The sequence below is a fragment of the Homo sapiens genome, chromosome 15 (genome assembly GCF_000001405.40).
Source record: "Homo sapiens chromosome 15, GRCh38.p14 Primary Assembly".
NCBI classification, from domain to species: Eukaryota; Metazoa; Chordata; class Mammalia; order Primates; family Hominidae; genus Homo; species Homo sapiens.
In genome coordinates, this window is record NC_000015.10 from 83,827,845 (window position 1) to 83,839,971 (window position 12,127).

At 38.9% G+C, this 12,127-nt stretch overlaps 1 protein-coding gene across 12 annotated transcripts in view; it reads left to right on the top strand.

The window, feature by feature from the left end:
• The window catches only part of ADAMTSL3 (ADAMTS like 3), a 385,720-nt gene that overhangs the window by 173,722 nt on the left and 199,871 nt on the right, over positions 1-12,127 (top strand). For all 12 annotated transcript variants that reach the window (XM_011521823.3, XM_017022434.2, XM_011521822.3 and 9 more), the window contains exon 7: positions 10,245-10,371. In XM_011521823.3, the coding sequence (XP_011520125.1) occupies positions 10,245-10,371 (127 nt within the window). The remainder of the gene's footprint in view (positions 1-10,244; positions 10,372-12,127) is intronic.

Here is a 12,127-nt window from a genome sequence, read left to right on the forward strand (position 1 = left end):
TCTGAGGGCTCTGTTCTGTCCCATTGGTCTATATCTCTGTTTTGGTACCAGTACCATGCTGCTTTGGTTACTGTAGCCTTGTAGTATAGTTTGAAGTCAGGTAACGTGATGCCTCCAGCTTTGTTCTTTTGGGTTAGGATTGTCTTGGCAATGCAGGCTCTTTTTTGGTTCCATATGAACTTTAAAGTAGTTTTTCCAATTCTGTGAAGAAATTCTGTGAAGAAGATTGGTGGCTTGATGGGGATGGCATTGAATCTATAAATTACCTTGGGCAGTATGGCCATTTTCACGATATTGATTCTTCCTATCCATGAGCATGGAATGTTCTCCCATTTGTTGTGTCCTCTTTTATTTCGTTGAGCAGTGGTTTGTAGTTCTCCTTGAAGAGGTCCTTCACATCCCTTGTAAGTTGGATTCCTAGGTATTTTATTCTCTTTGAAGCAATGGTGAATGGGAGTTCACTCATGATTTGGCTCTCTGTTAGTCTGTTATTGGTGTATAAGAATGCTTGTGATTTTTGCACATTGATTTTGTATCCTGAGACTTCACTGAAGTTGCCTATCAGCTTAAGGAGATTTTGGGCTGAGACGATGGGGTTTTCTAAATATACAATCATGTCATCTGCAGACAGGGACAATTTGACTTCCTCTTTTCCTAATTGAATACCCTTTATTTCTTTCTCCTGCGTGATTGCCCTGGCCAGAACTTCCAACACTATGTTGAATAGGAGTGGTGAGAGAGGGCATCCCTGTCTTGTGCCAGTTTTCAAAGGGAATGCTTCCAGTTTTTGCCCATTCAGTATGATATTGGCTGTGGGTTTGTCATAGATAGCTCTTATTATTTTGAAATACATCCCATCAATACCTAATTTATTGAGAGTTTTTAGCATGAAGGTTGTTTAATTTTGTCAAAGGCCTTTTCTGCATCTATTGAGATAATCATATGGTTTTTGTCTTTGTTTCTGTTTATATGCTGGATTACGTTTATTGATTTTCATATGTTGAACCAGCCTTGCATAGCAGGGATGAAGCCCACTTGATCATGGTGGATAAGTTTTTTGATGTGCTGCTGGATTTGGTTTGCCAGAATTTTATTGAGGATTTCTGCATCGATGTTCATCAGGGATATTGGTCTAAAATTCTCTTTTTTGGTTGTGTCTCTTCCAGGCTTTGGTATCAGGATGATGCTGGCCTCATAAAATGAGTTAGGGAGGATTCCCTCTTTTTCTATTGATTGGAATAGTTTCAGAAGGAATGGTACCAGCTCCTCCTTGTACCTCTGGAAGAATTCGGCTGTGAATCCATCTGGTCCTGGACTTTTTTTGGTTGGTAGGCTATTAATTATTGCCTCAATTTCAGAGCCTGTTATTGGTCTATTCAGAGATTCAACTTCTTCCTGGTTTAGTCTTGGGAGGGTGTATGTGTCCAGGAATTTATCCATTTCTTCTAGATTTTCTAGTTTATTTGCGTAGAGCTGTTTATAGTATTCCCTGATGGTAGTTTGTATTTCTGTGGGATCGGTGGTGATATCCCCTTTATCATTTTTTATTGCGCCTATTTGATTCTTCTCTCTTTTCTTCTTTATTAGTCTTGCTAGCAGTCTATCAATTTTGTTGATCTTTTCAAAAAACCAGCTCCTGGATTCTTTGATTTTTTGAAGGTTTTTTTATGTCTCTATCTCCTTCAGTTCTGCTCTGATCTTAGTTATTTCTTGCCTTCTGCTAGCTTTTGAATGTGCTTGCTCTTGCTTCTCTAGTTCTTTTAATTGTGATGTTAGGGTATCAATTTTAGATCTTTCCTGCTTTCTCTTGTGGGCATTTAGTGCTATAAATTTCCCTCTACACACTGCTTTAAATGTGTCCCAGAGATTCTGGTATGTTGTGTCTTTGTTCTCATAGGTTTCAAAGAACATCTTTATTTCTGCCTTCATTTCCTTATGTACCCAGTAGTCATTCAGGAGCAGGTTGTTCAGTTTCCATGTAGTTGAGTGGTTTTGAGTGAGTTTCTTAATCTTGAGTTCTAGTTTGATTGCACTGTGGTCTGAGAGACAGTTTGTTATCATTTCTGTTCTTTTACATTTGCTGAAGAGTGCTTTACTTCCAGCTATGTGGTCAATTTTGTAATAAGTGTGATATGGTGCTGAGAAGAATGTATATTCTGTTGATTTGGGATGGAGAGGAAACAGATCTTTTACGGCTGAATGTTTGGTTGGATGTGGGGAGTGAGAGAATGATATTTAGATTTCTGATATCATGATTAAGTAGATAGATAGTGAGACCATTCATCAAGACAAAATATTGGGTGAGAACAGGGGGCATGGGGCAAAGGTGATGAGCTGGGCGTGCCTGTCAATCTAAGTTGATGTTTGAATTTAGAGCTTAGGAGAGAAATCTAGACTAGAAATATAGATCTGGGGCTCTCACATGGTTAAATCTAATGATCTAATGTCATTGGGGACTGAGTAAGAAGGACAGGTTGTACTCTCAAGTACAGAGTCCTGGTGCCCATAATTGAAGGAACTAGCACAGGGAGAGGTGCCCCTGATGGGGACTGAACAGAATAGCTTTCTATATAGTAGCGAGACCATGAAAAACGGAAGATAAGGGCGGGTGAGCATTTAAGAAGGCCGGTTAGCAGTGGCACATACTTCAGAGAAGTCAAGAGCAGTAAGAACTGAAATCCACCCACTTCATTTTGACTAAAGATCACTGGCAACAGCTGGCACAGCCTCAGTGTGGTGTTGGAGTAGGCACTGGCAGGGGATGCAGGATGCATTAGTTTCCTGTGGCAGCTGTGACAAATTACCACAAATTTGGTGGCTTAAAACAACAGAAGTTTATTTTCTCACACTTCTAGAGGCCAGAAGTTTAAAATCAGGGTATCAGCAGGGTTGGTTCTTGGCTGGAGGCTCTGAGGGAGAATCCATTCCTTGCCTCTCTTCCAGCTTCTGGTGCTGGAATTTGGGCTTGTCTTTAGAAAGAGCCCATTTGCAGGAGGCCAGACTGGGAGCAGCAGGTGGGCAGGATGGAGGGAAAAGAGGAGGGTGGGTGACTTTAAAACTTAAGCTTCATTAACTTTCTGGTAAATCCACGAATGAACAAGAATATATGTTGCCAAGTGGGTGGGTGGGTGGAGTATTGATTTAGATGTAGAAATATACAACTAATGAAGTAAAGTTTGGGCTAATCAAAAGAGTTGATAGGCAGAAACAAAGGGGACAGATTTTTGTGCCAATGATTTTTGGTGTTCCTTGCTTGTGGAAGCATCACTCTAATCTCTGCCTTCGTCTGCACCTTACCTCCTCTTGTCTATCTCTATGTTTTCCCCTCCTTTCATAAGGACACCTTCCTATTATTTCATCTCAACATCCTTAATTACATTTGCAAAGATATTTTTCCACATATGGTCACATTCACAGGATCTGGGTGCCATGTCTTTTTTTGGGGGGAGTGCACAAGTCAACCCACTACACATGGTAAGGAATGAATAGGCTGAAATGAGTAGGGATGATGAGCATAAACCCCCTTTTCAAAAAGTATGAATCAGAAGAATAGAGGGAAAGATACAACTACAGCCAGAGGGGATGTCAGGTTCAGGAAGAATGTCTTCAAGATCAGAGATACTTGGAAAAGCACTGGAGCAGATGCAGTTTTTAGGGTACCTGAAGCATATGTAATTAGAAGTGCCCTCTTTATTTATTAACTTTTGAGACAAAGTCTCTCTCACCCAGGCTGGAGTGCAGTGGTGCTATCATGGCTCATTGCAGCCTTGACCTCCTGGGCTCAAGTGATTCTCCCATCTCAACCTCTTGAGTAGCTGGGACTACAGGTGTGCCACCACTGGCTAATTTATGGCAGATTCTTCCGTAGAAATCCTTCCCAGTTGCAGCCCAGCTTCCCCTCCCCACCTCAAATACTTCAATTCCCCACAACTCTAAGCATTTGTGGGAGCCCAGACTGGGAACAGCAGGTGGGCAAGACAGAGGGAAAAGGAGAGAGTGGTTGACCCTGAAACTTAAGCTTCATTAACTTCATGGTAAATCCATGAATGCGCAAGGATATATGTTGCCAGGCAGGTGGGTGAGTGGAGTATTGACTGAGAGGTAGAAATATACAATGAATGCAGTGAAGTTCCTGGGCTCTTCAAAGGAGTTGATAACAGAAACAAAGGAGACAGATTGCTCGTGGACAAGGAGGAGGGACACCTTTTCCCTTGAGGCAGGTAGGAAGGGGTAAATATGGGCCACTGATCAGTTTGGTATGGGAATGGACAGGAAGGTGAGATATTGTTTGATGGCCTCAATTGAGTGAAATATAAAGCAAAGGCATCTTTTTTTGCCTGCAGTCAACATGAGCTTTTATTTGCCTGCAGTCAACATGAGCTCCCCTTCCCACATTTACCCTTCTGCTCACTACTCGCCACCCCCTGTTCTTATTAATGGTCTAAATCCAGTTGCTTAGTTGACTCCAGGAGTTTCCAGGGTTTAAAGGGGCTTGCAGGATAAAGGTGGTTTCAGTATGAATTAGTGCATTTTAAATGAGTGCTTCTAATCACGTTTTTGTGATGCTACTGAGTAAGCCAGTTCTTTGGGTGATGAGGAGTGATACCCTGGTTGCTGAAAGCTGGATGCTCTTTTGGCTAGGTGATTTGAATTAAATAATTATGTGTTCTTCCTCGGAAGTGACTTAGACACTTCTTGGTAGAATTCAGTATCTTTCCTTCAGCAGGATAATGTTCACATAAATTGCCTTTCTTGTGCCACGTGGCCATGGGCATCAGTTAGGCAGATTCAGTGTCTGGTGAGGGCCTACTTCCTGCTTCCTGGTGATTCTTTCTGCTTGCCCCAGGATCACTGATGTGAGCCATAATGACTACTTGGCATAGACTACACATAAGTCTTGTAAATGTCTGTATAGTTTTCTCATTTAAATGAACATGTCACAGTGCTCTTGGGAACAACTTTCCATTAACCTGAGCACAGCAGACAGCCTGAGACAGTGGTGCTCACTGAATGAAATTTGCTTCTGCTTTGGAGGTCTGATTTGTATTAGAGGCACGACCTGGTTGGTACCAGCTCTGCAGACCAAGTTTGATTTGTCATTCATGTTTATTGAATTCCCTGATAGCTGTGCAGATGAAGAAACCACTTAGAATTTAGAATAAAAATAAAAATAATAGCAACTAACACTGGGTGCTTAGCCCAGGTATCAGGCATTGTGGAAGTCCTTTACTGTTAGCTCATCATAATCCTATCAAGTAGGTACAGTATTTATTCCCCACTTTGTTGATAAGGAAACTGGAAATTGAAGAGGCTAAGTAAATTGCCCAAGTTGTACAGTATCTTAGTCAGTTTGGGCAGCTGTCACTAGCTACCATAGATTGGGTGGCATATTAACAACAGAAATTTATTTTTTACAGTTCTAGAGGCTGGGAAGTCCAAAATCAAAGTGCTGGCAGATTCAGTGTCTGGTGAGGGTCTGCTCCCTGCCTCCTGGTTCATAGAGGCTGTGTCCTCACATGGCAGAAGGGATGAGGGAGGTATCCAGGGTATTTTTTATAAGGGTACTAATCCTATTCATGAGGTCTCTACCCTCATGACCTAACCACCCCCTAAATGTTTCACCTCCTAGTACCATCAACTTGAGGGTTAGGTCTCTGCATATGAATTTTGGGTGTGGACACATTCAGTCTATAGCACATAGCTAGGAAGTGATAGAGCTGGAATTTGAACCCAGGCAACCTAATTCCAGAATCCAATTTCTTAATTATTGGGCTATACTGATGATACTTTTTATATTGGTACAAGTGTAGCTGAAGTTTGTAACTGAAAATGAGATATAATTCGGTAAAGAACAGTCAGTTCAACAGATGATTCATGCTTAGATGGCTTAGTACGGGGATTAAAACTCAGATGTCTACATACTGCCCCAGAGAGAAACTGCCCAGATGTAGTCACATTGGCTGGTGACTGTAGTGGTGAACTGGAGGATACATGCTCATTGTGAAGGGAGCAACTATGTATAAACATGTCGGAAGTTTTGTTTTGTTTTGTTTTTGTTTTTGTCAAGAGAAGCCAGAAAACTGGATTTTAATGTGAAACTTCCAATTTTAAAAATCGTCTTCCTGTTAATAACCGTGCTTTATCCATTAATGGTTAAATTATAGTCCTGTATAGTATAGGCTGGGTTTTCCTGCAGTAACCAACAACACCCAAAGCTCAGTAGCTTAAAACAATTAAAGGTTACTTCTTGCTGATGCCACTTGCCCAACAGTGGTTGACAGGAGCCTCAGCTCTTAGAACGTCTCGGAGACTCAGGCTTTATTTGGACACATTTTTTACATAATAACTGCAATAGTGCAAGGGGAACATGAGACTCAGACACTGACCCTTAAATCTTCTTATAGAAGTGACACAGATCAATCACTTAGACTCATATTTCATTGGCCAAAGTTAGTTAATGACCACACCTAACTTCAAAGGGGGTGGAGAAGTGCAGACCTTCTGTGGGCTGAAGCAAAATGTTTCTGAGTATCCCCACTGACTACCACAGCTCCATATACTCTGATTTTTAAGGCAGAAATGTCAGATTTTTCCCCCAAGTTAGATTCTGATTTGCAGAGATTTCAAACGGTTGATTTAAAAAAAAAATTGTTTTGTTCTTGAATGATTAAATTTGACTGCTCTGAAAAATTCATATTTTGCTTCATTTGGACTAGTGCCACTTATTTAAGTATTATCATCTTTTAGCTGATTAGGAAATCATATGCAGGAACTGTGAAATAATTTTTAGCTGAAGTGATGATTTATAGATGAATATTTATTCCAAAAAGCACTACTCATATATTTTAAATATTTGTTTATGTCATCCACTATCTTGTGTAACTTGTCTCATTAACTACACTGTAAGGTAAGAATCTTATGTTATTAATTTATGCTCTGTAGTGTCTGGCAGTATAGAAAATGGTTATTTAATAGATGTTAATAAATTTTATTGATATATCTGTCAATTAGTAGTTAATAAATCACTATAATTAGAGATCATGACTTCAGATGATGTCATAGAAGTTGGAAACACTTCAGGCAATTTTTTAGAAGTTGCTTATTGTTGGGCCGGGCGCTGTGGTTCACGCTTGTAATCCCAGCACTTTGGGAGGCCAAGGCGGGCAGATCACGAGATCAGGAGATCGAGACCATCCTGGCTAACACAGTGAAACCCTGTCTCTACTGAAAATACAAAAAATTAGCCGGGCATGGTGGCGGGTAGCTGTAGTCCCAGCTACTCGGGAGGCTGAGGCAGGAAAATGGCGTGAACCCAGGAGGCAGAGCTTGCAGTGAGCTGAGATTGCACCACTGCACTCCAGCTTGGGCGGCAGAGCAAGACTCTGTCTCAAAAAAAAAAAAAAAAAAAGTTGCTTATTGTTGATTATGATGGGATATGAAAGCCAAAATTCAGTGGCCCCTCAATTTCAAAGGCATTTCTGGCTTATTCGTTATGAATCACAAGGCAAGACTTTCTTTTCAAATATCATTTTTCTGTGATGTTTTCACATGCTTTATTTTGCTATAACATTTGGATGAATTGTAACTTAAAAAAAATTATGAAGCAAATATCAGTGCTCAGGGAGGTATTCAATTGCCTGAGATCTTGCAAGGCCTTAAACACTCTTCAAAACAAGCCCCTCCTAGCTCCTAAGCCCACGCCCTTCCTGGATGACCAGATAGAGAGTGATTCTCATTCTCATGAAATGCAGAGTGCTCAGGGACATGAATGTGTGAGGACAGAGTTTGGCCCAGGAGCAGTGTTTCTATAATTTAATAGTGGTATTACTCCCCTTGGAGAAAGTTGCATGAACACAAGTTACTCATTGATTGAATCTTGACCATGCAAGTGTGTTTCCAAAATCAATCACTCTTAAGTTGTTCCACATGTACTTGTAAATGTTAATTTAATGGCCTGTGTAACTGGGCTTTTGTTGTTGTTGTCTATCTGCTGATACTTAAGGTAGAGGAAGTTGTAATGTAGTGTTAAGATTCTGAGTCAGATAACTTGGGTTTTAAAACCATTACCAACACTATATACTAGCTGTGTAATATTGGCAAATCATTTACTCAGTAATGTTTAGATTCCTTATTTATAAAATAGAGTTAAAGGTATCACCTCATGACAAAATTGCTCTGAAGATTAAATGAAATAATGTGTACAATATTCATGGCATAATGCCAGGTACATGCTAAGCATTCAATAAAAATCAGCAATTATTAATATTGTATTACTATCTTTATAAAATCATATAATCAGGATTAAAGGATCTCAAAAGTCATTGGATTAAGCTACTCATCCAATAATTTAATCCCCCCTACAATTTTTCCACCAAGAGATCTCCTAGACTATGATTGAATACTTATTATTAGATAACTCTGACTTTTCAAACTTTCTCATATTGAACCAAATTATGCTTAAACCTGTAGCTTTCACCATTTGGAAATATACAGAACAAAAGTAGACCCTTTCCTCATGATAGCTCTTTGTGAATTTGAAAATATCTCTAATCATAAGCTATTCTCTAAACTTCCTTGAAACTTACTATCTCTCCCTGAAATTTTCACTTGATCTTTCTCTTTCCCTTCAACACCAAAATGTTGGAAAGAATTGTTATAAATAATTGTCTCAACTTCCTCTAGTTTCATTTCTTCTTCAACAGCTTGGATATAGAGTCTGATTCAACAACTCTCCAAGCTGAAGCATGAGGGCTACCCAGGAGTCAAAATAAGATGAAAAACACAGAGAAATAATAACATTGGCCCTTTTTTATTGAATCCTTTATAGTGTTTGAATCATTATACTAAGAATTTTACATATATTTTCTCACTGAATCATCACTAGGCCCTATGTGAAGTATATATTGGTATTATTATCTCTATTTTACTGTTGAGGAAAACGAGTCTCTGAGAGTTTGAATTTTTCAACATCCTGCAGCTTGAAAGGGTGGTGAGTGGATCCAGGTTTGTACGTGGGTGTTTTCTTCCTCCAAAGTCCCTGCACTTAAACACCAGATTTATAAATAAAGTTAGATGAATATGGGAAGGAAGGAAGAGATAAACCATCAGATCAGTTGATATTATTGTTGTTTACACATTATGTAAAATATATGCTTAAGAAATAAAAAAGAAATATAAGACATGACCTTTTTTCTCATATAAGGAAGCTTATAATATAGCAAATACACACACATATGTACACATGAAAAATGACAAGAGAAGGAAGGATAGCAGTATAAACACGTATTTTATATGAGACATCTCTCCTTTTAATTATTTTTTATATTTTAAAAATTGTTTATAAATATATAGGTATAATGACAGCGGTGGAGATACATAGGCATAGGTACAGCTAATGATAAAGACAAGGAGATATAAAGATATAGATAAAGACTATAGACAGATATTAATATAGGGATATAGATATTTAGAGATAGAAGTAAAAACAGAAAAAAAAAAGATATTTAAAGTAAAACTATGAACCAGAAGGTTATACATCAAATTTAGGACAGTGGTTGTTTTGGGGAGGAAATGAGAGAATAGGATAAGTGTAGGGCTGGGGAGAGAGGAAACGTCTGTAATGTTCTGTTTATTTTATATATATAAAAATGCCTGGGCTGGGCAGTGTGGTACATGCCTGTAATCCCAGCACTTTGGAAGGCCAAGGCAGGAGGATCACTTGAGCCCAGGAATTCAAGACCAGCCTGGGCAGCATAGGGAGACCCTGTCTTTACATCAAATTTTAAAAAGCTGGGTGTTGGGGCACAGGCCTGTGACTCAACCTCCCAGGCTCAAGTGATCCCAGCTACTTGGGAGGCTGAGGTGGGAGGATCACTTGAGCCCAGGAGGTTGAGGCTGCAGTGAGCCACAATCCCACTATTGCACTCCAACCTGGGCAACAGAGTGAGATCTTGTCTTGAAAAAAAAAAAAGACAGAAATCTGAATAAAAATATAAATAGAAAAGGGAGGGGTATGGAGGGACAGCTTCAAATCTTAATATTAATATTTCGGCCTTACATTAGAATCATATAAATGATACTATCCTGTAAGACATTATATTATTTAGATTTATAAAACTATGTTCTCATAAAAGAGAGCCAAACTGTAAAGTTAAGGATTACATCACAACTAAGCTTCCTGAAATGAAGAGAGCTCCCCCTCCCCTGGCTTTGGGCACCACTGACTGCCATGCTTCTGTTGGCAGGCAGTGGGCTGCGATCGGCAACTGGGAAGCAATGCCAAGGAGGACAACTGTGGAGTCTGTGCCGGCGATGGCTCCACCTGCAGGCTTGTACGGGGACAATCAAAGTCACACGTTTCTCCTGAAAAAAGTAGGTTTTAAACCCAATACGTTATTACCATCATACAAGATATATTTTAGACTGTCTATTGCTAGAATAACATTTTCTGAATGTTAAGCTTTTTTAGTTGGAAGTAGCTTTTGTACCAATTTTCTAAAAGTGAAATTTCTTCCAAGAAGTGTGTATCAAACTTTTGTTCCCATTATATCTTTGAAGAGGACCCGTTTTCTTTGAACCTTTGCCAATGCAGGGTATTACTGTTTTAAAAAAATATATTTGCCAATTTTTCAGGTAAATCATGAAATAGTAATTTCTTTTATTTGTCTTCCTTTGACTGCTAACAAGGTAGAAAATATTGTCATGTATCTATTGACCATTTATACTTTTTAATTTCTCAGTTAGCTACTGAAGCCATTTATCAATTTTCCTATTTGGATGTAGATCTTTTCCTCATTGTTGAGAGCTTTTAATATATCACCAATACTAACATTTTTTCTGTCATACCTATTTCAAATATGGTTCCAGTTTGTTAATTGACTTTCAATTTTGTGTAATTAGAGTTTCTAAGTTTCTAAGTATTATGTATTTGGAAATTTCCATCTTTTCATTTTAATAATATCTGTCCTTTAAAACATCCTTTAGTTTGGGGAATCAGTAAACTTTTTCTGTAAAGGGATGGATAATAAATATTTTAGGCTTTGCTGGCCATATAGTCTCAACTACTCAACACAGCTGTTGCAGTGTAAAAGCACACACAGACACCTGTAAATAGATCAGCATGGCTACATTCCAATGAAACTTTATTTACAAATGTAGCCTGAAGGCTGAATTTGGCCTTTAGGTTTGTTAACCGCTCCTTTAAAGGAAACAAAAATTATTCACGTATGTTTTCTGCCAGTACTTTTATGGTTTTGTTTTTCTTTATAATAATTCTTTCTGAATACCCCCTTGTTGGTGGTATTCAGTTATAAATGTAGGTGAGTTCCGCCAAAGATTTGATTTTAAATCTTTTATTCCTTTGAATTTAGTTTGATGTAACTTGTAAAGTCGGCATCTTACTTATTTTCCCAAATGGGGAAAGCATTGCGGGAGGGGTGGAGGGTTTTTCAGGCAGAGGAAACACAAAGTTCATGGCGTGACACTGGAGAAGAGTCTGGGTGTTTTGAGGAACTCCTAATATGTTGTTCAGGCCTGACTGTACATTGAATAGGGTAGAAGATAAGACAGAACGGCATTTGGAGTCAAAGCCTTCGTTATTGTGTTTTATTTTTCAGATTAAGTGGAGCCCTCAAAGCAATTTAGGCAGTGGAGTGATATGGTTAGGTTAGTGTTTTAGTAAAATAATTCTGGTGGCATATGGAGGCTGGATTACCTGTCAGATGAGCTTGGAAGCAGGTAGTCCAAATAGGAAGTGTCTTTCAAGCTATTCAAGAGTGTTTAAAATCATGAGGCCTTGATCTAGGGTAGCGTGGGAGGAAACGTAGAGGAAGGAACAGGTGGAGAGATCTTTAGCATGTAGAATGAACAGAGTTTGGTAATTCTTTGAATGACAGCTATAAGAGAAAAGAAGCAGCTAGAATGGCCCAAATTTTCCATCTTGTGCAGCTCGGTGGACATGTTTGCTATTCATTTGGGTAAGGAATTCATGAAGAGGAGACACATATCAGAGGTGAGACTCCACCTCCCTGAATTTTATTCTCTCCAAAATTTTCACCCCATAAGTATCCAATGTCTAAGTATCTTTCTGATGCCTGCAAACAGATGTTGATTATGTTTTCTTTGTGGT